The sequence below is a fragment of the Homo sapiens genome, chromosome 8 (assembly GCF_000001405.40).
Source record: "Homo sapiens chromosome 8, GRCh38.p14 Primary Assembly".
Classification (NCBI taxonomy): Eukaryota; Metazoa; Chordata; class Mammalia; order Primates; family Hominidae; genus Homo; species Homo sapiens.
This window is the reverse complement of record NC_000008.11, coordinates 20,154,560-20,182,372: the sequence shown is the minus strand read 5'-3', so window position 1 is coordinate 20,182,372 and position 27,813 is coordinate 20,154,560. Positions and strand designations below refer to the sequence as shown.

The following is a 27,813-nucleotide window of genomic DNA, read 5'->3' as shown; positions in this document are numbered from 1 at the left end:
CTGTATCATTAAAATTATTTGAAAATATAATTTTTAAGAGCCGCTTAATAATCCACCATTAACATGTTTGACTTTTTTCACTAAGAAAAATAATTCTGCAATTGATCATTTTGAGTATAAGTCTTTGGCTGCATCTCTGACCTTTTTTCTTTTGTAGGATGGGTTCCTTGTAGTAGAGTTACTAAGTCAAAGAGTATACAATTTTTAGGGCCTGATAGATTTCATGATGGTAATCTATTTTAAAATTTAAATGAGTGATATTGTTGATACCACAACAGAAGCCACGTCAAAGAAAATGAAATTCTCCCCAGAAACTCTTATTACTTGAAGTTTGACAAGGTACTGTGACTTAATGCTGACTAATGATATGAAATCCTGAATAGAGAACTAATCATGAAAGTCAATATTTTATTTTCACAGATGAAGGCATCTTTCTGATCAGGGGTTTGTAGCTCAAACAAAAGAATGAGCGTGCTTCTAGAACCACAGAGCAAGGGAACATGGTAGAGGATAAGCTGGCAAGTTGAAAAGCGTGGGATTTCATCCCAGTTTGACACTAACTGTGCAACCCCAAACAAATCTCCTAACCTTCAGAGGCTCGGATTTCTTGTCTATGAGATGAAGGTTGGTCTACATCAGTGTTTCTCAGTGGGCAGCCCAAGTGACACTGTGCCACATGAAATATTTTGGGGTAGCACCTAGAACAAAGGTCATACTTTTTTTGCATGCCACATAAAATAACTTTTTGAAACATGATATCAATATCTATGTTGGTTTTAAAAATTTTTTGAGAGTTAGGGGTCTTGCTATGTAGTCCAGGCTGGACTCAAACTCCTGGGCTCAAGATATCCTCCCACCTCAGCCTCCCAAGTAACTGAGACTCCAGGCACATCCCACCATACCTGGCAGTATCTCAATATTTTAAAAGAGTGGATCTAGAGGAAAAAGATGAAGTAAATGATAGTACAGGTAGTCCTTAGATATGACATAAACCATCAAGGTGATAGGCAAATAAATGTCGGATGTTTGAAAAACACAGGGTTAAGTGATCTGTAGAGCATCTATTTTTATCTGGATTTATACCTAGCCATTAAATTCAAGGGAAATTAATGGCTAGATATAAATCCAGACATAAATAGCTAGTAAGCGATGCTTACCAGGAAGGCATTCTGGGAACCAGGTAGAGTTATTGAGATTTATAAGAAGTGAACAGTGATACAGACATGGAGATGTTTCCAAATATCATCCTACTACTTGCAACCCTTTGCACTTTTCGTTTTAATAGTGAGTTTCCTTCGTCTGGGCAGACTCCCTCCCCTCTTCCATAAAGGCTGCAGGAGACCTGTAGCTGTCACAGGACCTTCCCTAAGAGCCCGCAGGGGAAGACTGCCCCAGTCCGGCCATCACCATGCTCCGGACCATTCTGGATGCTCCCCAGCGGTTGCTGAAGGAGGGGAGAGCGTCCCGGCAGCTGGTGCTGGTGGTGGTATTCGTCGCTTTGCTCCTGGACAACATGCTGTTTACTGTGGTGGGTACGTTTGTGGGTCTTTGTGCTGAGGGTTAATTTGCTGTGGGCCCCAGCAGGCAGTGTACACCCTGCTTGAGTTCAACAGTGAATCCATCTGAGAATTTTCCTTTTTATGCTCAAAAACACACAGAGGTTGTTGGGGACTGGAAAAAAGCCCTGCAGAAAATGGAGTCTGACACTTGTCAAACACAGCTAAAAGACTCAGGAGGTTCAAAGAGCAGGAGGTCCAGAGAGGGTCTGACTGGAGAAGAGGATGGCCCGGAGCCAGAACTGGCTGTGCTTTTCTTTCTCCCCACACTGTCTTCTCAAGGTGCTAATGACTCCAAGTGCCTCTGAGGCAGCGAGATCTTCTCACAGGGGTGCCTTTCTGGACTCTGCTCTATAAAAACAGCATATTTTATTTGGATATCTGATTTAGTATCAAGACCTTGCCTTCCTTGTGGTTCTTTCCCTCAGAATCCTGCTTTTTTTAGTTGATACTCTCCTAATCATTACATTAAGTTACACCCTTGTATAAATGGGCACTAAAAGGTTTCTCCTCTTGGGTAAAACATATGTTTTTAAAAAAGGATCTTTCTGAGACAAGTTGTTAATCCAATACAATCACTTCTCATTATTCATAGTTCTGTAGTTATAGTTATGCTCTATAAAGTCGCTGCAAACACTGAATTAGTGAATACTGAATCATTGCTCCCAGGGAAACACACACACACACACACACACACACACACACACAATTATAATCTTAAATCTTAAACATCGTGGTACATCGTGTTTTCTTTATAAAAGAGAAAAAGAAGTTCAGAAGTGTTAAGTGACTTGCCCAAGGCCTCTCCACTAGCAGGTGCCAGAGTTGGGATTCAAACCCTGTCCAGGGGTCCCAGAGCTGAGGCTCCTCTGACCACCCTGCCCTTCCTCCTCCCATCCCCTCCTGTGGCCAGGTCTGTGTGAGAGCTGGACATGTCTGTGAAATGTCGTGGTAGCTCAGTGTGTGTTGGTTTGGGGGGTTACATGTCAATCTAAGTGAGTAGGAGAGTTAGCCAATGTGGAAACCATGAACAATGAGGACTAACTGTATAAGGTCAGAATTTAGCTACTTTAGCTAATAGGATAACTTGGGCAGGCACAGTCTTTTAGTAGGTTTTAACCATGCCACTCCAGATACCAGCCTTGGGCATAAGGCTGAACCTCATCATAGTCCCCTGATCCTAGTAGTGGTAAGATGACATCTGTCCTTAGCCCCCATCACCTGTCCTCCTTGACTTTCAGTAGAATTGACATCTGTCCTTAGCCCCTTGAGTTTCAGTGGTAAGATGACATCGGTCCTTAGCCCCCATCACCTGTCCTCTTTGACTTTCAGTGCCAATTGTGCCCACCTTCCTATATGACATGGAGTTCAAAGAAGTCAACTCTTCTCTGCACCTCGGCCATGCCGGAAGTTCCCCACATGCCCTCGCCTCTCCTGCCTTTTCCACCATCTTCTCCTTCTTCAACAACAACACCGTGGCTGTTGAAGAAAGCGTACCTAGTGGAATAGCATGGATGAATGACACTGCCAGCACCATCCCACCTCCAGCCACTGAAGCCATCTCAGCTCATAAAAACAACTGCTTGCAAGGCACAGGTTTCTTGGAGGAAGAGATTACCCGGGTCGGGGTTCTGTTTGCTTCAAAGGCTGTGATGCAACTTCTGGTCAACCCATTCGTGGGCCCTCTCACCAACAGGTATCTCACTGGGTGCAGTGCCCCGCAGGGTACACAGGAGTAGGAGGACTAGAAAAGTATAGAAAGGGGGTTGGAAGGGAAAAAGAAGAAATACTCACTTGTATGATTCCTCAGGGGAGTCAGCTATTCGGAAAGCTCGTTACTCAAAGAATAACATGTTACTGATGAAATGTTATGGGATCAGATTTTCTTAGTGATATATTGAGTATTGAGTACCAAGAAGAGAACCATGAACAGCAGTGTGCTGTGATGTTCTATCAGTGACCTGGAGCATGGCTTGAATGGGAAAAGGGTATGAATGGGACAGTCCTGTTGTAATCTAGAGCACTGGCTTCCCAGGAGTTGTATTGACGATTATTCTGATATTTTCAAGAGATATACACTCCACCTAGGCTATCATTTCTGGAAATGAGAATTTTGGCCCTGATCTATGGTCATATCTGCATGTTTGTTTGTTTGCTCATACTCATCCACATGCCCTATTTCATCTCCACACTACATTCAGAGGCATGTTTTACCATACACCCAAATAGCTGCATTTCTGCTCCCACTTACATTTAAAAATGTAGTCCATGTATGTGAGTGCCTGTTGGAATTGTATCTTTTTTTTTTTCAATTCCCTTTTAGGATTGGATATCATATCCCCATGTTTGCTGGCTTTGTTATCATGTTTCTCTCCACAGTTAGTAAGTAATTTGCTTCCTCTTTTCTTCCCTTCACTGATTACCTTTGATTTTATCAAGTGAATGCGGTGTAGATAGCAGGGTAACCTAGAATGTAATTAGGCATCTGACTAAGCAGACTGGAATATTGGTTTAAATGCTCTGCTGTTTTTGGTATGTGGACTAGAACAGTAGTGACAATTCAGTCTAGTTGGAATTGGTCTATTCTGCTATAGAAGAACAGATATTTTATTCACTTCACTTCAGCTGGACATAATGAGAGCTGTTTGAATATGTATGCTACGGGGTGTGTGTGTGTGTGTGTGTGTGTGTGTGTTATATGCATCAGTAATCCCTTGAGCAAGTTTAATACAAACTTTCCATCTATGAGAAGCAATGATATTATTTTGTTATGCCATGGAAAAGGGCAACTCACAAAAAAATGGAAATTGGACAATAACATCTGGAAAATTCCAAAAAGCCTACTGCTTTTCAGTTAAGGGCTTTAAAGGTTAAGCTTAGAAAAGTAAATTTGCTAAAGAAACAAGAAAGAGAAAGACAAATACTCTATCCAGGATCAGCTAAATGTTTCTAATAAAATGGAGATGGGATAAACACAGTACATGAGAAAAGTAAGTCTGGAAATTGATGCTGAGAAGTAAAGGAAGAAGGAATGAAAAGGGTTAGCGTTAGCAGGTTAAGGCAGGGGAAGGCAGCCTGTGGATCCAGCCTTGGTTCCCGATGGCCCTGCTGAACCTCTGCTCTCCAACAACACACCTCCTTCTCCCTCGCGTTTTTCTTTTCTTTTCTTTTCTTTTTAATTATACTTTAAGTTCTAGGGTACACGTGCACAACGTGCAGGTTTGTTACGTATGTATACATGTGCCATGTTGGAGTACTGCACCCATTAACTCATCATTTACATTAGGTATATCTCCTAATGCTATCCCTCCCCTCTCCCCCGACTCCATGACAGGCCCCGGTGTGTGAAGTTCCCCTTCCGGTGTCCATGTGTTCTCTGTTCAATTCCCACCTATGAGTGAGAACATGCCTCTCATTTTTCTTATTACCTTTCTGTTCCTTGTCTACTTTCTGTCTTCCTCTTCCTCAACTTTTCTTCTTTCCCAGCACAGAACTTGATTCCTAGCAACCCAATATTTAACAAGAATTTGTTGCATTCTGGGCTGGAAGGCTGCAAACTGCAAGAACTTGAGATGTGAGGTTGTCTCTGAGAACTACGTCTTGTTTGTGAAATTTTAGTGGACTTGAAGAAAATGAAGAAATTCAAATTAGCACTGTTCATGGAACTTCTAGCAGTTCAGCCTAAGTTAGACAGCAAATTTAAAAATAATAAGATGCCAGGTGCCCTATTTCATCAAATGAGGCTTAAGATTTATTCCAAACAACTTTATGCAGTGCATGTATAATGCCCAGATGGCCATAGTCACATAAAGAATGAAAAGACATGATTCCAGCTATCAGAAGTGTATATGATGGTTGCCTGGGGAGACATGAGACACACACTGAGAAGTAAGACAATGCGGTGTGCTAGTGGATCTGAGACGTTTTAGCATGATATCCTTGCCTGATTCTCTGCCAAGAATTCATGTGTTAAAAGCTTTACTTTTAAAGTAAACTGTATATGTTAAGTAATTATTGTTTAACTTATACCAAACTATATATGTTAAATAATTATTATTTCCATAGGATAGCTGTGTTGCTATATGGAGTTGGCCTAATTCTAACCAAAAGAAAATACATTTGATGTTTAGGGTATCCTTGTCCAATGTTCTAAAAAATACTTAAAAGAGATTGTTGATGCCCGTTACTACCCTTAAACCCTCCACCCCCCAACTAGGAGCCATGCCTAATGTAATCAAGAGTGAAATGGTGGCCCATGTAAAGGGTCCAAAGTGAAAAAAATAATTGCTTTGGTATTCCTAAATAGAATGACCAACTCTCCTGGTTTGCCTAGAATTGAGGGGTGTCTTAGTCCATTTAGCATTGCTATAAAGGAGTACCTGAGGCTGGGTCATTTATATTAGAAAGAGGTTTGTTGGCTCATGGTTCTGCAGGCTCTACAAGAAGCATGACACCAGCATCTGCTTCTGGTGCGGGCCTCAGGGAGCTTCCACTCATGGTGGAAGGTGAAGGGGAGCTGGCTGTGCAGAGATGAGAGAGGAAGAAAGAGAGAGGAGAGGGAGGTGCCAGCCTTTTTTTAACCAGCAGCTCTTGAGAGAACTGTAGAGTGAGAACTCACTCACCACCAAAGGAAGACATTAAAGTATTCATGAGGGATCCTTCCCCATAACCCAAACACCTTCCACTGGGCCCCATCTCCAACACCGGGGATCAAATTTCAACATGAGATTTGGTGGGGACAAACAACCCATGTCCACACTGTAGTGAGGGGCTTCCCAGGATGTAAGACTTCCTGTTTTTGTGGGGTATTTTGAGTTTCAGTTTTAAAAACAAGGAAGTTCTGGGCAGACCAAGATGAGTGGGTCACTCTATTCTCAAAGGACATTGGGAGAGTAGACAGAAAAGACTGGAAATAACAAAGTCTGAGAAAAGATGCTGGTGGCCAGGAAAGAAGAGACCAAGAATGTGCATCTTTGGGAGACAAGGAGAAGTTCGGTGTGATCATGTCTGCCGGGAAGTAATGGGAGAAGATTAAAAACACAACCAAAGACATCTGTAATGAATGGGCAAAGGGATTACAATTCTTCTGATTCAGACACTTCGAGGAGATTATTCTTACCCTAGGAGACATTTTTCTGGAATTGGAGGTGAGACATGTCTGGACTTAACTACCCTGACCACCAGCACCCTCTGATTTAGTTTTGTGTTGCGGGAAGTCAGGGACCCTGAATGGAAGGACCTGCTGAAGCCATGACAGAAGAACATAAATCATGAAGATTTCATGGACATTTATTAGTTCCCCAAATTAATACTTTTATAATTTCTCACACTTGTCTTTACTGCAATCTCTGAACATAAAATTGTGAAGATTTCATGGACATTTATCACTTCCCCAATTATCAATACTCTTATAATTTCCTATGCCTGTCTTTACTTTAATCTCTTAATCCCATGGTCTTCGTAAACTGAGGATGTATGTCGACTCAGGACCCTGTGAGGATTGCGTTAACTGCACAAATTGTTCATAAAGCGTGTGTGTTTGAACAATATGAGATCTCAGAACCTTGAAAAAAGAATAGGATAATGGAGATGTTCAGGGAGCAAGGGGAGATAACCATTAGGTCTGACTGTCTGGGAGCCTGGCAGGACAGAGCCATATTTCTCTTATTGTTTTGGATGACATATTCCTGTTGGATCTCAGTTTCCTGGGTGTCCATCTTCAACACACTGCCTCTCTTCACGGACAATAACTAGATGTTATTTTTATTTTGCATTTGCTACAGAGTCTAGCAGAGCTGCGCATTCAGTATAATTTAATACCTGCTGATTTTGTCTGGTTAAAAGATCGTTCAATATAAGATATAAAAAAGGATCTGATTGTATCACAAGATATTATTTTCTACCCAATTCCTATAATCCTCGAAGCACCTACTTACTGTCACTGTACTCCAGATGATCCTGTGGGACCCAGCAATGGTAAAGACCAGATCTGGATTTTGCACATGGACGATCCAGGAGTATGATCTAAGAACCAGTTTCCAGCCTAGGACACTGAGCTTCATGGACATCCCTCATTTCAGTGGACAGAATGTTGGGTTCTTGGCAAGAGATGTACAGACTCAGCCTTCCATCTGCTGTGTGGTGACTCGGTTTATACTTCTGTGGTTTCTCAGTTTTCTTGCCATTTAAATAGCAAAACTGAGGAGTGGGAGATTGAAAAGACAACTCAAAAAACAGGGAACAGTCATCATGCTTTATTAAAAACATATGCATCAAGACTCATATCTGCAGTATCACGGGCATGTTCTCTGGCGGCTGGGGAAGCAAAGGCAATTTGCTAACTGCAGTTATCTTGCTATTCTCTCTGCCCAGTGTTTGCTTTTTCTGGGACCTATACTCTACTCTTTGTGGCCCGAACCCTTCAAGGCATTGGATCTTCATTTTCATCTGTTGCAGGTAACACTGGCAACTCATCATGCACACACACATGCAGGCATGCACACACACACATCTCTTACTACCTCAGATCCTATATTTACATGGAGAAATTAAGGAAAATGTCACCTGGATAGGTAGAAATTGTGATTCAGAAATAAGGGAATTGGGCTGGGCACAGTGGCTCACACCTGTAACCCCTGCACTTTGGGAAGCCAAGGCAGGAGGATAGCTTGATTCTAGGAGTCTGAGACCAACCCGGGCAGCCTGGGCAACATAGTGAGAGCCCTATTTCTATTAAAAAAAAGAGAGAATAAGTTAGCCAGGCATGGTGGTGTGCACCTGTGGTCCCAGCTACTTGGGAGGCTAAAGTGGGAGGATGGCTTGAGCTTGGGTGGTCAAGGCTGCAGTGAGCCATGATTGTGCCTCTGCACTTCAGCCTGGGTGACAGAGCTAGACCCTAACTCAAAAAAAAAAAAAAAAAAAGAAAGGAATTACAGAGTTTCTAACAGGGTCCATAGATCTCTGAGCCTGACATAACTTCCTCTGCTAATATTCAGATGCAGCTAGCTCAGGTCAGAGCAAGCCTCCAGTGAAGCTATGAAGAAGGGCAGGCTTTCATTTAGTGCCACTCTATGGTCCTTTTTCTGTCCCCCTCTTAGTACTTTATAGGAATAATCATGTTAGTACTACTGGTAACACCAGCACAGTTTTCAAAGTACTGGTGAATATAATATCTAATGCAATCTTATGAAGTTGGCATTTTATGCCATTTTACCCATAGCTATGAAGGCCAGAGGGTCCAGCTGCCGTACAGCACTAGCCCACACTTTCTTCCAGGTCTGCAGTGCTTTCCTGCTCTTCCCTGGGCACCCCTGTTAAATAGAATGGTCTCTGTGTGCCTAGATTTTCCTTTCCCTGATCTGCTCTGTAACCCCTCATTTTGGGAAATGTGCTAGGAAATGATAAAATGTTATGAAACATGGTATAATCAGACAATGGATTTTCTGTGTTATCCTTCCAGAGGGCTTGCACTATCAACAATATTCTGAACAGGAGTGGACAATGTGGGGGCTTGGGGGACTAGGGAGGGTAGTACTTGAAAAATACTACGGGTTAAGTTTTGTAAAACCCCTCAAACTGAAACTCTAGCTAAGATTGTCACTGAAGAGATAACAGGGTGGGACCAAGGGCTCTGAGAGGCGGATAGAAGCCCCCCAGGGGGCCAGCTGCATCTGTAACTCTCTGCGCAGGTCTTGGAATGCTGGCCAGTGTCTACACTGATGACCATGAGAGAGGACGAGCCATGGGAACTGCTCTGGGGGGCCTGGCCTTGGGGTTGCTGGGTAAGTGGCACCAGCTGGAGCTCTGGGTTCGGGAGGGTGGGACTCTAGGAAGCAGGTGTTCCCGAGGTGTAGAAGACGAGTATTTTCCTTCCCTTGTTGGCCTCATCCTATTTCAACTCCTTTAGAAATATCACTGAGAAAAGGTTAAATTTCCTTCTCCTTAAGAAGCTGGGAAACACATAAACGTCGGAGAAAGGTCCGGAAGCCCAGCCTGTTGGAGGAAGTGAGCCTCCCCGATTTAGAGGCCACTGCTTCGCCTCGGTTCCCATGCACACAGCACCAGAGCATGGCTGCTGCCAGATGCTCTGCTAAATCTGTTACACGCATAATCTCTTTTATTCCTCACCACCAGGAATGAAAGGAGGAATGATTTTCCCCATTATAGAGATGAAAATAAGAATGGCGAAAACACCATCCAACATCACACAGCTAGGAAACGCCACAGCCAGGATACAGACTCCGATTTTCTGGGCTTGGAAACCCAAGCCCCAAACGATAAAACTACCCTTTCTTTGAGGCTCCTCCCTCATACAACTTAATTGACAAGCTACATGCTTTCACTTATTACATGCCAAGCACAGTGCCAGTACTGTAGGGTGGGAAGCCCCAGGCATAGTTCCTGCCCTCTAGGAGCTTACAAGCTCATCGAAAACAAAACACCTGAAATTTCTTCCCCGGCCTATGCCCCACCCTCTAGCCCCATGGGAAGCAGAGGAAACAGAATCCCTGTTATTTGCTAGTATCCATCAACCCAAATGCCCAAGCTAAACCCTGTGCATCTTGAAATCCTTTATCATGTCCCAAATGAATAAGCTCCCAAATGAACAAGCTTGTTAGATCCTCAACAGCCACTCCTGGCTCCTTGTCACTTCTGGGTTAGAATCTGGCAGCATCCTCCCTCTTGTGTACTCCCTCCTTCCACCACGATGCTGCCTGAACAATCTTCCTGAGCCCAGAGCAGGTGATGTTTCTCACCTGATGTTTCTCCATAGGCCGCAAGGCCAAGTACATGACTCATCTGCATATACAAGGTTCCTGCATATGCAAGGCTCTACTTTTCTCCTCGCAAATATTCATACTCTGCTAACACCCGCTTTCTTCTTTTTCTTCTCCAACTACACACTCTTTTCTGACACCTCTGTGTTCTTCACACAAGCTTCTTCCCCTCCAGATACTCTACACTTGGCAAAGCCCTCGTGGCTGCCTGAAATTCCTGAGACATTGACTGTGCTTTCATTGCATGCAACATTTTACTGTCAAACTTTCACCATGCTTTAATTATCTGTGTCCCTCCCTACACACACACACACATACATACACACACGCGCGCGCACACACACACACACACACACACTTCCTCCACTAGAAAGTGGGCTTGATGGGGACAGGGATCATGTCTCCATCTCTGAATTCCCAGAGCCTCAGGTGGAGCTTAGCCCCTAGCAGGCCTTCTGCAAATGCTCACGGGGTAAATATGGATAATTCTCACTGCAAAGGACTCACCCTCACCTCTGGAATCTGTGTCTCCTATGCCTCTCCAGTGGGAGCTCCCTTTGGAAGTGTAATGTACGAGTTTGTTGGGAAGTCTGCACCCTTCCTCATCCTGGCCTTCCTGGCACTACTGGATGGAGGTAAGTCACCATCAGAGCCTCCAGCAGGTGACAGCCCAGGTCAGGTTGGGAATGCATTATGTTGTAGTGTCAGTCTTCACTAAGAATGGGCGGTTTGGACATGTTTTGATGGATCAAGGACTGCCCCGTTGTAGAAAAGAAAGAAGAAACTCAGGGAGTTAAATTTATGCATAATAGGGTGGTAGCACTACAGCTGTTATTGGAGCCCCCAGCTAATCAGTAGACACGCTGAACTGTCTCACCTTCTTTGTTTCTTAGCACTCCAGCTTTGCATCCTACAGCCTTCCAAAGTCTCTCCTGAGGTAAGCAGACACAAAGCTCCATTTCTAACAGTTATACAGGATGGCTGAATGCAGGAACCCAGGCATGCCTGCCAAACCATAAGAAGAAAAGTGAAGAGGAATAGGGTCAGCGAAAGTGAGAACTGTGTTTGGATTCCAGGATAGGGTTACGTTTCAGGTAGTGTGGGGGATAGTGACGTATTTGGCTTGATGTTGGACAAAGATGGTGGAAGAACCTTGTGCATAATCAAAGAAGCCATAGAGAATCTATCTATCTATCTATCTATATATTCGACACATATATGGGGTATGTATATATATATTCATGTATATCTGGAGATCTCCATATATATATATATATGTGCACACACACATGTAATTATAGCTAGGAGATAATGACATTGGGGACTGAGTATTTGGAGCTGTAACATCATCTCAGAGATGAAGGCTGTGGGGGCCACCTAGACAACATCTTCTGCAATAAAAGACATCCTGTGTGAATATCCCTAACTGTCATTCTGTCACAGTTAATAAATATCAGAGTTGGTACTTGTTTGACTCTAAGCCAAAAACAGCTCTGGAAAATCCATATCCCACCACGAAGGAAAAAAAGTAAGAAAGTGCATCAAGTGTAAAAATGTTTGATCTAAAGGCCTTGACTTTGCATTCCACAGCTTGTCAAGGTATTCCGGAAGTCATGACACTAACACCTCATCATTCTTCAGGGCTTTTCACGCACCAGGAGCTCAGCTTAGTGCGCCATCTATGCTGCATCTTACACATTCCATGAAATAAGTACAATTTTTAGCCTCACTCTACAGATAATGAAATCGAGGGTGAACAGAGAAGCATCTGAAAGAATTTGAAACTATGACATAATCAATACTTTTAGAGTGCCAATTCCCCCAGAGCAACTAGGAGCCTCCCGCAGTCTCCTGAGATGCTCTGCTCTTTACAGACTGGCTTTAGGAGTAGGATGTCTGGGTCCTGGAGAGGGAAGTCATAACCACCACCCATCCAGGACTCCTCAGGGCAAGGAGCACCAAATACCCTCTGCACAGGCTCCCAGGCCTGGCATATGCTTGGGCCCAGCACCCCTCCAGCCCTGGCCCAGGCGTAGGGACACTCATCCAGGTGGTTCAGCCACTGTTTATTATTAACTGTGCAGCAGTGGTGAATTACTCAGCAAGTAAATCCAGCTTGAGATTCCAGGAAAGTGAGGCACCCATAAATATCTACTTTTTTGAGACGGAGTCTTGCTCTGTCACCCAGGCTGGAGTACAGTGGGGCGATCTCGGCTCACTGCAACCTCTGCCTCCTAGGTTCAAATGATTCTCCTGTGTCAGCCTCCCAAGTAGCTGGGATTACAAGCACGCACCACCATGCCCAGCTAATTTTTATGTTTTTAGTAGAGACAGGATTTCACCATGTTGGCCAGGCTGGTCTCGAACTCCTGAGCTCAAGTGATCCATCCGCCTCAGCCTCCCAAAGTGCTGGGATTGTAGGCATGAGCCACCGCACCCAGCCCATTCTCTCTCTTTCTAACAAATATACATTATTATTATTATTACTAATGTTTTGAGCCAGTTGACAGTAGATTGATTGTATCGTTCCCTTACCCCTTGATACTTTAGAGCATTTTCCCTAAGAACAGGATTTTTTTTTATGTAATGTCAATGGAGCTATCAAATTCAGGAAATTTAACATGGATATAATACTTTAGTCTAATTTGCCGTGCCTACTCTGATTGTGTCAATTATTCCGATAATGTCTTCCATGGAAGTCTTTTTTTCTCTAATGCAAAGCCCAGTCCATGACTGTGTAAGACATTTATGCATCACACCTCTCTAGCCTCTTTTAATCTGGAAAAGTTCTCAGCCTTTATCTTTCATGACATTGACATTTGTGACAATTATCTATAGGGTATTCCTAAATTTGGTTTGTCTGATGTTTCTTCATGATACCGTAGCCTTCTGAGTTTCATGTCTGGAGGTATTTAATGCCCGTCGCCTCTCAGTGGTGATGTCCATTTTGATCACTGGGTCAAGGTGTTGTCTGGGTCTCTTGTGTAGTAATTACTTCTTCACCTTGTAACTAATATATAACATGTGGGAGATGTTGTAAAGTCATATAAATCTCCTACTCCTCCTTAAATTTCCTTTCTGCCTAGATTTGTTATCCATTGATGATTCTTGACTGACCCAATCTTTACTATAATGTTTACAAAATACTGGTTTTTCTAGTTCACCAATTCATCCAAATCATCAGTTGGCACTTTGCTGTAAGGAATAGCCATTCCTCCAAGGCAGGCGGATCACTTGAGACCAGGAGTTTGAGACCAGCCTGGCCAACATGGCAAAACCCTGTCTCTGCTAAAAGTACAAAAAAATTAGCTGGGCATGGTGGTGCACACCGTAATCCCAGCTACTCAGGAGGCTGAGGCAATAGAATCCCTTGAACCTAGGAGGCGGAGGTTGCAGTAAGCCACTGCACTCCAGCCTGGGTGACAAAGTAAGACTCTGTCTCAAAAAAAATACTCTAAAAAACAAAAAAGCAATAGCCATTCCTTTCTTACTCTCTTTATATGTATATATTTATAAATATTTATACCAAATAGGTATATAATAATTTTATGTACATGTGATTATGTTCACAAAAAACTTAAAAAACATTTATTTATCTGATATTATCAGTGTAGAATCATGGAGTCCTATTTTTGTAGTTCATCACTCTATTTACTTGTTTAATTTTTTTTTGGAGACAGGGCCTCTTTCTGTGACTGAGGCTGGAGTGTAGAGGTGTGATCATGGCTCACTGTAGCCTCCAACTCTTGGGTTCAAGTGACCCTCTTGCCTCAGCTTCTTGAGTAGCTGAGACTACACAGGCATGCCACCACACCCAGCTTAACTTTTTATAGAGACCGGGTCTGCCTGTGTTGCCCAGGCTGGCCTTGAACTCCTGGCCTCCCGTCCTTAATTATTTTGATGCTCAAATTGTCCTAGATTTGACAAGTCAAAGCCCATTAACTTGTTGCTGTGTCATTTTAACATACCTTCATTGTTTTTTGAGTAATGTTTTACTTTTCGATACAAAAATATGTCCTACGTTCATCTTGTACTTTCCCTGCCTCAGCCCTGAATTCATTTCCCCAAGGAGCCCAGGTTCTTGTTAGTAGGGAATGGTGTTTAGAAACCAAACTATGGGGCCGGGCACGGTGGTTCACGCCTGTAATCCCAGCAGTTTGGGAGGCCGAGGCAGGCGGATCATGAGGTCAGGAGATTGAGACCATCCTGGCTAACACAGTGAAATCCCGTCTCTACTAAAAATACAAAAAAATGAGCCAGGCGTGGCGGTGGGTGCCTGTAGTCCCAGCTACTCAGGAGGCTGAGGCAGGAGAATGGCATGAACCCAGGAGGAGGAGCTTGCAGTGAGCCAAGATCATGCCACTGCACTCCAGTCTGGGCTACAGAGCAAGACTCTGTCTCAAAAAAACAAAAAAAACAAAAAAAACAAAAAACTATGGGGACTCAATGTGCTCTTTGCCATTGGGGTCACCTTGTTTCCCTGCCATCTTGATGACAGAGCTAATACACACACACAAGTTTGTACTGAGACCTCCACTTCCAGCCCAACTCCACGGGATTTTTCCCTGCTTGCCCCATTCCATACATGTATTCTTCTTTCAAAGTAAGAAATTTGTCTCCCCCTATTATACAAATAGGTGAAACACCTATTTTACAAATAGATTAAAAAATTTACTTACTTGTATAATTCTATAATACTTACCCATGCCATTATAAAAAACAAAGCTACCAAGAAATATTCAAGACTTTTCAGTTCTTTTTCCCTTAGACTTAATGAATATAGCCAAATACTGTATCTAGAAATTACCGTACTTCCATTAGTTCTTTTTTCCACCTTTAGTGTGATTATGTAATGCATGATACATTTGAAATTCATTTGCATCCATTTGTGGGGTTTTTTTTTTTTGGCATTTAGTTTTAGTTTTTTTTCTCCATTCTGGCTAATTATCTTAGTCTGTTCAAGATGCCAGAACAAAATACTACAGATTGGGTAGCTTAAACAACACATATTTATTTTCTCACGACTCTGGAGGCTGAACGTCCATGGTCAAGGTACTGTTGAGGGTTGGTTTCTGGTGAGGCCTCTCTTCCTGGCTTGCAGACAGCCACCTTCTCAGTGCGTCCTCACATGGCCTTTACTCAGTGTGCATGCACAGAGGAAGAGAGCCCTGATGTCCCTTCCTCTTTTTATAAGGAAAACAGTTTTTCAGATTAGAGCCCCCACTCTTATGACCTCATTTAACCTTAATTACCTCCCTGAAGATACTGTCTCCAAACACAGTCATATTAGGTTAGGACTTCAACATACTAATTTGACTAAGGTGGGGGGACTCCATTCAGCCCATAACACTAATATAATTTATTTTTTTAATATATAGGACATTACCACCTAAAAGTCAAAATTATTCCAAAAGGTGTACTCAGAAAGTGTCAATCCCTCCAGTCTTTCTAACCCTCCCCCTCTCCCACCCCTACCACTCATAGGTAACCAATTTTAATGCCTTCTGGTTTGTCTTTCCTGTGTCTTAGTGTTTTTTCCTCAAAATAAATCGCTTATGTGTTTTCTTATTTTTCCCTTTTCTATTATATGAAAGGCAGCACACTATGTATTCTTTTTTTTGCGTTCTCCTTTTTTTCTCAATAATATGTCCTGAAAATTACTCTACTAGTTCACAGAATCTTTCCTTATTATTTTCCACCTGGTGGTGTATATATATATATATATATATATATATATATATATATATATAGACACACACACACCCACACACAATTTTGTATGTGTACACAATAGTGTGTGCGCCATATTTTATTCCATCTCCTATGTTTAGGTAGTTTTCAGTATTTTATAGTTATAAATAGTGCTGTAATTTGCATGACTGCATGTTTATAATGTTGTCATTAATCTTTAGAGTCAATTCCTAGAAGTGGGACTGTTGGGTCAAAGGGTTTATTGTACTTTTAAATGTATATTTTAATGATTTACATCAGTTTCTTTACTTCGAATAATAATTGGGTAAGCGAATGATCTCTTTAGTTTTAGGATCTCTAAATTTATCAATCCACTATTGTGTGTGTGCAGAGAGGGTTATCATACCAAAATGATCCAATCTATTACAAGATAGAAAGTAGTAAACACCATGAAGGATTAGGACATAGTGTTCAGGATGTCTGGAAGAGAGAGAAGCCCCAGCTACTGAGTCAGGGAGCTCTCTAGAAAAGAAGGAGCCATTTAAGCTTGACTTTAAAGAGTGGGTAGAACATGGAACTATGGAGAAGCTCAGAACGTGTAGTTTAGGCAAAGGCAATAATGATGGCTGAGGCACTGCTGGGATGCTTGGAAAGAGGGTGGGGCGACCAAGTTTAGATGAGAGTGTGTCCTGACGAGAGTGGGTCCTGGATGTTTAGGCTGTATTTTAACCCTGCTTCTTCTACCTTAGTTCAGTGTGGCTCAAAATGATCAGAATGAAGAATTCAGAAAGCTTGAGAGGCTTTCTGAGTTATGGCTTCTGTGCTTGCTTTTGGGATTCGGTGCTCTGCCTGTGGTTCTCCCAGGACAAATATTAGTACCAGGGAGATCTAGTGGAAACCAGGAGTCCAGACATCTATTGTCCAACCCTGACCTTGCTACCAATCCACTCTGACCTTGTTGATGGTCACGTGAACGCAGGAACCATGGCTGGAATATGTTGCTTCTCTATCTGTGACTATTACAGTGCCTACCTTTCACACAGGAGGGGTCCTGCCTCCAGCTTCCTCTGTGGCATCAGACAAGTCACTTTCTCTCCCTGTACTGGGGTTCCTGGTCTCTGCAGTAAAGGAGATACTGTAGATGGTCTCTAAGCCCATAATTGTACTTTCTCAGATTCTGTGAAAATAGGAGAGATGTATGCACTGTACAAATGGACATTTTTTGTTATCCATGTTCTCAGAGTGCCAAGGGGACTCCCCTCTTTATGCTTCTCAAAGACCCTTACATCCTGGTGGCTGCAGGTAAGCTGGCGATGACCTCCCATTGGGCGGGGAGTGTCTGGGCTTCAAGCAGCCACGGCTGCTCACAGAACAGTCTCCCCAGGGTCCATCTGCTTTGCCAACATGGGGGTGGCCATCCTGGAGCCCACACTGCCCATCTGGATGATGCAGACCATGTGCTCCCCCAAGTGGCAGCTGGGTAAGTGACCTCAGCACCCCCGCTCAGGGCCTGGCAGGAGGAGGTGGGTGCCATGAGTCCTTTCGTTCAATGTCACACAGGGACAACATGCTTCCTTTGTAGAATGACCTCCCACGTCCACACCCATGAATCAAGCCCAAGAGGGTGTGTGGTCCCTCAGAGAAGCAGTCTGAGAAAGGGGAGGGTGAGAGAGGATGAAAGGGGCTATGGAGAGGTCACATACCTAGCTGTGTAGTAGGATGATTAATGATTTCCAGTCCAAAGATTCAGGTTTTGGTTTCAGCTCCTTTGATTTTCTGTGAAAACTTGTGCAGATGCCTTAAACCCTCTGAGCATCACTTTTCTCATTGCTAAAATGAGCATCAAAATACTATCTAGTTCAAGAGAAATTGGATGAATAAATGACATATGAGGTGAAAATGCTTTGTACCCTGTACAATATTAATGTGCACCATTACCATCCACATTCTCCTCCCTTCAGCTCCTCATCCTCAAGACTACCCTTTGGTTATCTTTTTTACCTCTAAAAAGGGGTGTATGTAGCACTCACTTAGGAAAAGCTATGGGCCCAGGAGAGAGGGTTCCAGCTTCCTTTGTTCATGCAGCGACTTAGAGAGGAGCTTGGAGAGGAGGATCTAGCCCTTCCCAGGAACCCTGAGGAAAGAGGACAGGGAAGGCTACGTGCAAATTGCTCCATCACTGCAGGGAGGAGAGGCTTACGGGGCCAGAGGGGAAGCTGATAAGAACATGATATAGTTCAGCATGCAATAAAAAGCACTAAATCTAATTTTGGGGGGGCAATTCTAAGCAAGACTCCCAGCTGCACTCCTAGTGCCAAATTGAATTTTTATGGGTTGCAAGTGCTTTTGACCATGACGATTAATTGAGTTAGTCGGTATTCAGTGCAGATAATTCATCGCCTGCCCTAAGGCTCTGACCACTCAGGGTCTCGATACTAGTGAGCAGCTACAACACAGAGCAGCTCCTCCCCAGCAGCCTAGGGACCATTCTCAGTTGCCAGTTACCAATTACTCAGTTACCAGTCACTCAGTTGCCACCATCTTTTACAGCTTTCTCAATGCTATCTGGTCTGTAAAGTCTGACATCAAAGGTTGTCCAACAACTACATCAGAATCACCTAGAGAGCTTGTTAAAACTCTGATTGCTGGGAGACAGTAGGCAATTTAGTCAAAACAAGTTTTCATCCCTAGTAAGTCTGCAGGTGATGCTAATATAGCTGGTCAGTGATCACACCTAGAAAATCGCTGCTGTACATGAAGAGCATCCCTCAAAGGTGTTGGGAGCCAAAGGAGTCCATGCTTTTGAAAGTAATGTGTAGTCTGCCTCTGAGTGCTTGCTATGTGGCCCACCATATACTAGGTAGCATCACCAAGGGGAGGAAATAGCCCAGGTCCACCTGGGTTTGAATGCTGACCACGTCACTTACTGATTGTGACCTCGGATAAGTTATTTAACCTCTTTGACCTCTGATATGGTGTGAATGTGTCCCCCAAAATTTATATGTTGCAAATTGAATCCCCAGTGCAACAGTCTTGAGAAGTGGGACCTTTGAGAGATGATGAGATCATGGGAGCACCCTCATGAATGGATTAAGGCCATTATCATGGGAGTGAGTTTGTCATAATAAAAGGGGAGTTCAGCTCCCTTTACATCTCTCTCATGTGTGCTCTCTCTCCATGTGACCCCCTTTGGCCATGTTATGATCCAGCAACCAGGCACTCCCCAGGTGGCCAAACAGACACTAGAGGCTTGCCTTTGAACTTCTTAACCTCCAGAACCCTGAGCCAAATAAATCTCTTTCATTGATAAATCATGCACTCTGGTATTCTGTTATATTATAGCAGCAGAAAATGGACTAAGACAGAAAATGGGTAATGAGAAACCGGGCTGCTGCTATAACAAATACTTGAAAATATGGAAGCAGCTTTGGAACTGGAAAATTGGTAGAGGCTGCAATAATTTGGAGGAGCAGGCTAGAAAGAGCCTGTATTGCTGTGGTTAAGGCATTAAGGGTGATTCTGGTGAGGGCTCAGAAGAAGAGGAGAGCTATAGAGAAAGTCTGAATCTTTTTAGACATTGGTTAAGAGGTTGTGACCAGAATGTTGATAGAAATATGGACAGTGAAGGTCATTCTGACGAGGTCTCAGATAGAAATGAGGAACAAGGTATTGGACACTAGAGTAAAGGCCATCCTTGTTATACAGTTACAAAAAACTTGGCAGACTTGTATCCATAACCTAGGACTTCATGGAATGAAGAACTTAGAGGCAATAAACTAGGATATCTGGCAGAAGAAATATCTAAGCAGCAAAGCTTCAGGCTGCTTTGTGGCTGTTTTAACTGCATATATAGTGACATGTGAAAGCAAAGAAATGATTTAAAGGTGAAATTTATGGTTAAAAGAGAAACAAAACAGAAAGACTTGGAAAATTTGCTGCCTGGCCTTGGAAAGAAAGAAAAGGCATCTTTAGGAGAGCACACCAAGACTGTGGCCAAGCAACCTAAAGTGATTAGTGTGGATAAAAGTGAGCCAGGCACCACTTATTAAGACTGTGGGAGAAAGACCCAAAGGCATTTTAGAGACCTTCGAAGCTGTGCTTCCCATTACTGGCCCAGAGATGTAGGAGGGCAGAATGGTTTGGGAATAAGCCTGGGACACCCTCCATGGGCTCACTGCCCAGGACCACCTTGGGACTCTGCTCTCTGCGTTTCAGTGCAGTGCCCCTCAACTGTGCCAGCCATGGCTCAAGTGGGCCCAGATGTGGCCTGGCCTCCCACTCTGGAGGGTGCAAGTGGTAAGCCTTGGTGGTGTCTATGTGGTGCAAATTTTGCACGTGCGCAGAATGCAAGAGCTATGGGTGCATGACTTCTTCCACCTAAATTTCAAAAGATGCCATGCACAGCCACTTCCAAGATCACGGAACTGTAGGGGCACCAGCATGGTGGCCTGCAAGCACAAGACTCCAACCCATGATTGCTGCTGGGTAGACTCAGCCCGGAAAGACCACAGACATGGGGCTGCCTGATGCCTTAGGGGTCCAAACTCCACTCCAGTGTGCCCAGGATTTTGGACATGGAGTCAAAGGCAATTATTCTCCAGCTTTAAGACATAATATTGTTTTCTGTTTTGGGCTTTGGACTTTCGTGGGACCTGTTACCCCTTTCTTCTTCCCTGTTGCTTCCTTTTGAAATAAGAATGCCTGTTCTATCTTTGTTCCACCATTATTTTTGAAAGTAGGTAAATTATCCCTTGGTGTGCATAGGAGAGTGGTTCTAGGACTCCTCACGGATACCAAACTCAAAGGATGTTCAAGTCCCTTACATAGAATGGCATCGTATTTGCATATAATCTACACACGTACTTCCATGTACTATAATCATTTCTCAATGACTTGTAACACCTAATGCAATGGAAATGCTATATAAATAGTTGTTATACTGTATTATTTTCTTTTTTGTATTATTTTTATCTTGTACTGTTATTTTTATTTTTTTTCCTCATATATTTTTGATCTGCGATTAGTTGAATCCAAGGATGTGAAACCTGCAAATACAAAGGGCCAAGTATAATTTGTTTTGATTTCACACGCTCACAGCTGGAGGGAATTTGCCTCAGGATTAATCGTACCTTGAATCTCACCCATAACTAATTTAGACAAGACTCTGGATTTTGGACTTTTGAGTTTACACTGGAACCACTTAAGACTTCTGAAACTATTGGGATGGATTGAATGCATTTTGCATTGTGACAAGGACATGAATTTTGGAGGCCGGGGGTAGAATGCTATGTCCTCCAAAATTTGTGTGTTGGAAACTTAATCCCCAATGCAACAGTGTTGAGAAGTGGAACCTTTAGTAGGTGATAAAGTCCTAGGGGCACCACCTTTATGAATAGATTAAAGCAATTATCATAGGAGTGGGTTAGTCACAAAAGGGGGGAGTTTGGCCCCTTTTTCTTTTCTCTCTCAAATGCCCTTTCTCCATGTGATACCCTTCGGCTGTATTATGACCCAACAAGAAGTCCCTCACCAGATGGCCAAGCAGATGCTGGTGCCATGCACTTGCGATTCCCAGCTTCCAGCATTGTGATCCAAATACATCTTTTTTCTTTAAGAATTACCCAATCTGTGGTAATATGTTACAGCAGCAAAAATAAAACAGACTAAGACCAACTTCAGTTTTTTAATTTGTAAAAAAGTAGGTATTTTTCAGAGTCATTTTCATCTGGAATCCTAAATGGATTAGCCCAGTGCGTGGAATACAGGATACTATCAGTAAATAAAAAATTATTTGTACAATTTTACTTTAAACCATTTTGATAGTCACAAAATGTGTAATCCCTCACCCCTTAGAGATTCACTGTGAAAAACAGATGTTTTTCATGCAGGGGTCATGTATCTATAAATACATATTCTGGAGCACCTATTTTGCACAAAATACTGCTAAAATGTAAGCTATAATCAGGTCCTAAAGAACGAGCAACGTGGATTGAGAAAAATCTAATTAAGGAAATTTTACACCATTTAAAATGATGTCAAGGAGGTGTATCTAGGAGGCTGTAGGCTTCCTAGAGGTGCTTACTTCCACATACTAGATAAACAATTGAGTAGTTTTAATTTTTTTAAGCAATTAAATATAAACGAATGGGTACAGTTTGCAACAGATTGCCACCTGTCCAGGATAGCCTACACAAATACACTAAGGTGTGCTTACTTCTACTCCATAGAAGAGAATATTAAAAGCAAACAAGTTGTCAGCCAATAAATGGTTGATTGTTGACTTTTAATTTAATTGTAATTGCCATGGTATTTTTTGTTAGCCTGCACTGTTTTTTTCTAGGTATAGAGAGGGATTAAAAGGGCTGGTGAGATCCAGACAAACTCACTCTGCTGATCTCAAACAGTTCCTTATACCAGAGCCATCTGTGCTACCACGCTGGGGGTGTGGCATAGTGGAAACACTTGGAGTTAGAGTGAGATGGCCTGGACTCAAGTCCTGACATGCCACTCACGAGTTATGATGATAATAATCAAGACCAGTGCTTGTAGGGCCCTTACTCTGCGACAGGCACGATGCAAAATGTTTGATATGCACTATTTTGTTTAAACCTCACAACTGGCCTGTCTGGTAGAAATTATGATTATCCCCATATTTCAGAGATTTCTTTTCTTTTCTTTTTCTTTCTTTTTTTTTTTTTTTTTTTTTTTTTTTTTGGCAGCTGCAAGATTTAATAGAGTGAAAACAGAGCTACCATATAATGGGAGGCGGCCCAAAGGGAATTGCCACTGCTGGCTGGAATGCCTGGGGTTTATATCCCGATCATTGTCCCTCCCTCTGTGCTCTCAGGTGATAGATTATTTGATTATTTCTTTACCTCCTGCTTTTAGCCTAATTGGTATTTTAGTGAGCTCTCTTTACTATGTGATTGGTCAGGTGTGAGCTGAGTTACTAGCCCCTTGTTTAAAGGTGGGTGTGGTCACCTTCCCCAGCTAGGCTTAGGAATTCTTAATTGGCCTAGGAAATCCAGCTAGTCCTGTCTGTTAGTACCCCCTCTCAACAGGAAAACCCAAGTGCTGTTGGGGAGGTTGGCTGATGACCGCTCTAACTGCTTCCTGCCGAACTGGGGCATAGTAGGGGTCATGCAGTTGAAAGTTCCTTGAGAGGGGTGCTTTCGATGTCATCAACATTGGAGCATGGGCTAGCAGGCCAGTCCAGGGGTCTGTAGTAGATCTTAGTCACAGACTGCATCTGGGGCTCCATTTGAAGAACCATTTATAGTTTTACAGCTTCAATTCTGGAAGAGACAAACTTAACCAGGAGGTTAAGATACAGAGATTGAAATGTATAGCCTAAAGTGCAGCGGGAGGTACATCCAACAGTTAGTAGGATTTTGGCCAAGGTTCCATCGAGCCTAGTGAGGGTGGTATTAAATAGGCTTACCAGGCAAGTATGGGTACAGAGGGTCTTCAAAGGCATACAAGAATTGAGAGTCAGGATGTACAGGGATGTAGAAAAAGGCATCCTTAAGGTCCAGGACTGTGAGTCACTCTGCTTCCTCTGGTATTTGGGAAAGCAGAGTATAAGGGTTAGGTACAGCTTGGTATAGAGGGACAATAGCCTCACTGATAATCCTGAGATCTTGCACTAACCTCCACTGTCCGTTGGGTTTCTGGACTCCTAAAATTGGAGTACTGCAGGGGCTGTTGCATAGTTTTACAAGGCCTTGGGCTTTTAGGTCCTTAACAATCTTTTGGAGTCCTTGTTGGGCCTCAGGTCTAAGGGGGTACTGCCTTTGGTAGGGAAAGGAGGTGGAATCCTTTAGTTTAACTTGAACGGGACGGGCATTCTTCGCTCCTCCATATTGTCCTTCTGTTGCCCAGACTTCAGGATTAATTCCCTCCTCAAGCAGGGCACAACAAACAGGTGTTCCTTCTGTATGTTCAGGTGTATAATGGCCCCTGCTTTTGCGAGAATGTCTCTCCTTAACAAAGAAGTGGGGCCTTCAGGCATAATTAGAAAGGCATGTGAAAAGAGCAAAGTTCTCCAGTCACAACTTAGTGGCTGGGAGAAGTATCTAGTGACTGCCTGTCCTAGGACCTCTCAGATAGTGACAGATCTGGAGGACAGTTGTCAGGGACAGGAGAGTAAGACTGAGAAGGCTGCACCAGTGTCTAGGAGACAGTTAACCTCCTGGCCCTCAAAGGTCAAGCATACCCAGGGCTCTGTGAGGGTGATGACATGGGCTGGCACTTGCCCTGGGCACCCTCAGTCCTGCTGCTGGATCATCTGTTAGTGGCTTCTGACTCAGAGGACCTTCGTCCCCTGGGACAGTGGGCCTTCCAGTGATTCTCTTGACATAAGGGGCATAGATGAGGGGGTGGCTTATTTCTATTCGGACAATCTTTTTTAAAGCGTCCTTGTAGACTGCACTAGAAGCAAGCCCTATTAGGCATTTGATTTGCCCAGGCTTTCCATATTCCAGAGCCTCCAAAGTCCACTTGCCGAGGGACATGGCTAAAGGGGTGGCCTTCTTTTTCTCCCGTTCGTCCCATTCCACCTGCTCCTCCTGATCTCTATTATAAAAAACTGAGGTTGCCAAGTTCAGTAGGGTTTCTAAGTTTTGCTCTGGGCCTAAAGTGGACTTTTGAAGTTTGTTTCTAATATCTGCAGCTGACTGAGTGATAAACTTATCTTTTAAGATTAGTTGGCCTTCAATAGAGTCAGGTGACAGAGAGGTATGCTTCCTCAATGCCTCCCTTAGTGTCTCCAGAAAGGCAGTAGGATTTTCTTCCTTTCCCTGTGTTATAATGGATATCACTGAGTAATTCATAGCCTTCTTCCTAGTTTTCCTTAGTCCTTCTAGCACGCAAGTTAGCAAATGTCTGCGGCACCAATCTCCATGTTGTGATTCTGCATCATAATGAGAGTCTACACTAGGAACTGCCTACTGGCCTGTGGGGAATCGTTCTCTTTCCTCTGTTGTCACCCTATCATTGACCTGACTGAGATACCAGAGATCGCCAAACTCTCAGGCTGCAATTATAGCTGCCCTTCTTTCATTTGGGGTTAGTGTCTGATCTAGCAGTAACATTATATCTCTCCAGAATACATCTTAGGGGCGTTTTTGCCTTGGGGAAAACGTTTCCCATCTGAAAAAAGAACATGAGGATGCCAGCACCCCTAGTCATTTTCCGATGAGCATTAGTCCTAGAGTGTCCTCTATGGTCCTAATGCTTATTCCTTTCCAGGGTGTGTAACCACCCAGGGACATCTGCTTACCGGATTAGTTACGCTCACCGATGTAGCAGTCCTGCACCTGTTTTCCCGCCTTTCTTGACCACAAAGAAAGGAGTCCAGGCTGCTGGATTATGGTGGTCCATTACCAGCGTGCCCAACATTGCCTTTGCGATCAGGGGTGAGTTCTTGAGCTGGGCTGCGCAACCCAGTTGCCCCATCAAGATGCATTCCCATAAACAACAATTCTTATGCAAATTCATTTCAGAGAGGGTGTAGGTAACCCTTTGAGTCAGGATTGAGATAGAGTTTTTGCCCACTAGGGCATTTGTCCTTTTCCTTTGTAGGAATACACCCTAATTATTGATCTTAAACTTTTTGTTGCCCCGGATTAAGTCCTTTTGGGTAAGAAATATGAGAGATGGATCCTGTTTATCCTGTGTGCCTTTTTCCTAAAAGAAGAAGAGCAAGGAGAAAAAGATGGGCTTACTGGTTTTGTAAGTACTTTAAGGCTTGGCTGAATGCAAACAGCTCACACCTTTGAGCAGACCAATTATTAGGCAATTTTCCCAACTCTGCTTCTACAAGAGTTTCCTTATCAATTACTGAATACCCATTACGGTTTTTTCCCTCAGTCACCCGGGAGGAACCATCTATCTTCCTGTCCTTAAGGGGGTACCTCCTGAGTCTGGTCAGACCTTCGTATGGTAATTAAGATTAAAATCCCCTGTTAGGAAATTGGCTGGGTTAAGGGAATTTTCAGTGGTTAATGTTAAGTCATCTTTTTTTTTTTTTAACAGACTAGCCCCATACTTTAAGATTTTTGAGTTAGTAAGCTACTTTTTTTTTTTTTTTTGACTTAGGATAGTTCTGAACTGGTGAGGTGTGCTCACAATGAGGTTTCCTCTAAAAGTTATTTTTCTACTTCCTTCTGTTAGCAAAGCAGTTGCCACTACAGATTGAATGCATTTGGGGCATCCCTTTAATTTACTCAATTCACTTTGATACTGATCTATTATGTTGTCGCAGGCCCAGTTCCAGTGTTAAAGTACTGGGTCATCAGTTCTAAGGCCCTCGCCAAGGAGCTGAGGCTTGGAGATTGTATTGCACAGGGTGGGTAAGTTGGATAGAAATTGAGAGAGGAGAGTACTTACACAATGGCAGAGCAATCCTCCTAGCCATTTACAAACTTGTGGCCCTTGCAAGGGTGGTGGGGAACGGGTCCCACATAACTGCCCATGTTGAGAGCTGTATACCTAAATTGGGAGGGACACCAGGGGCAAGACTCCGTGGGTTCATAGCCTTGGTGCCTAAGGACACAGTGTAGAGCTTCCTTAGATCCCCTTTGGAGATACAACTTGCTCTAATACTTGGGAGAGGAAGTGAAAGTCTGAAGCATTAGTACCTAGGAGGCAGGGATTGGAGGAAGTAGATTCAGAGGTAAGGAGAATTCTGGGGCTACACTTTCAAGAAAGTCATGGTTGGAACCCAGGAGGTATGGGTCAGAAGAAGAGGTAGGGGTGCACACATGGGCAACTATAGAGTAGAGACTTCTGGTTGCATCATGATCTTGACTGATCAATGCCCGGAGTTTGGGATGACAGCTTTCTGCCTCTAGTCGGCCTTCGGCTTCCCCCAAGAAAATTGTGAAAGCAGAAGCTGGTTCCAGGCAGACCAATGCTCCCATCCTAGAAGGATTGGGTGTTGTTAGAAAGCCTTTTCCCAGAAAGCCTCCCAGCTGAGTCTTAAGTCCAGCAGCCACGCTAATCGTTTGTAACTGGCTGACAGGTGCTCGGTATTTTCCTCTGATTCTAAGGAAGGATAGGACAGAATAGCAAGCAAAAGTGATCCAATATTACTCACCACTTTGGAGAAGCCCTGTACAGGCCACCAGATGTTACTGGAGGGTCTTTGTTCTTAGAGCTCCCAAGATGGGGCGGGCTGCTCCTAAGATGGCAGCGAGCCTTTTGTTCTCTGACCTGGGGTTCTTGGCCTCACAGATTCCAAGGAATGGAACCTTGGGCCATGTGGTGAGTGTTATAGCTCTATTAGAAGCCGTGGGTCACAGAAGAGAACCGTGGAATGCAGTGACTAGTGTTCAGCTGGATTAGGATGAACCTGGGCACTTAGGTGTGCAGGAACAATGGCAAGCTTTTAGCCCAATCAGGAGTGGCAATGGGTGCCTTGCTGGATCAGAAGTGCAGTGGACACCCTGCCAGATCTGGAGGGGTGGAAGTCAATGGTGGGTCTGTGATGGCAGCGCTCAGCCGTGGTGGACGGCGAATGAAAGCTCAGCTCGAGCCAGAACAAACACGGACCAGAAGAGTGTACAGTTGCAAGATCTAATAGAGTGAAAACAGAGCTCCCAAAGGGGGTTGCCCTCAGAGATTTCTTGATCTTACCAAATTTCCCAGTGCTCTTTCAAATCCTGGACTTGTCATCAGCAAGCATCCTATGCCCTCATCCTTTTCTCTGAACATGTCTTTCATCTTCTTGCCCTACTGAGACCCAGATGTTTTCTGTGAACATTGTTTTCCTGCAACATCTAGATGGA

General features: G+C 43.5%; 1 protein-coding gene across 7 annotated transcripts in view, besides 1 other annotated feature; it reads left to right on the top strand.

The window, feature by feature from the left end:
* Positions 1–27,813, top strand: part of SLC18A1 (solute carrier family 18 member A1) — a 38,282-nt gene that overhangs the window by 764 nt on the left and 9,705 nt on the right. For 2 of the 7 annotated variants that reach the window (NM_001142325.2, NM_001135691.3), the window contains exons 2-11: positions 421–624; positions 1,286–1,532; positions 2,889–3,252; positions 3,880–3,938; positions 7,929–8,012; positions 9,245–9,337; positions 10,879–10,968; positions 11,227–11,270; positions 17,266–17,326; positions 17,409–17,504. In NM_001142325.2, coding sequence (NP_001135797.1) covers positions 1,409–1,532; positions 2,889–3,252; positions 3,880–3,938; positions 7,929–8,012; positions 9,245–9,337; positions 10,879–10,968; positions 11,227–11,270; positions 17,266–17,326; positions 17,409–17,504 — 1,015 coding nt within the window. In that variant the 5' untranslated portion in view covers positions 421–624; positions 1,286–1,408. The remainder of the gene's footprint in view (positions 1–420; positions 625–1,285; positions 1,533–2,888; positions 3,253–3,879; positions 3,939–7,928; positions 8,013–9,244; positions 9,338–10,878; positions 10,969–11,226; positions 11,271–17,265; positions 17,327–17,408; positions 17,505–27,813) is intronic. The other 5 variants (NM_003053.4, NM_001142324.2, NM_001438745.1 and 2 more) reach the window with 5 other exon arrangements.
* Positions 16,784–17,983: an enhancer, noted in NCBI's record as "CDK7 strongly-dependent group 2 enhancer chr8:20021901-20023100 (GRCh37/hg19 assembly coordinates)". NCBI's record gives its function as "activates an origin of replication core promoter dependent on BRD2, BRD4, P300/CBP, MED14 and CDK7 cofactors, with strong dependence on CDK7, by STARR-seq in HCT116 cells {active_cell/tissue: HCT116}" and the evidence as "EXISTENCE:reporter gene assay evidence [ECO:0000049][PMID:35650434]".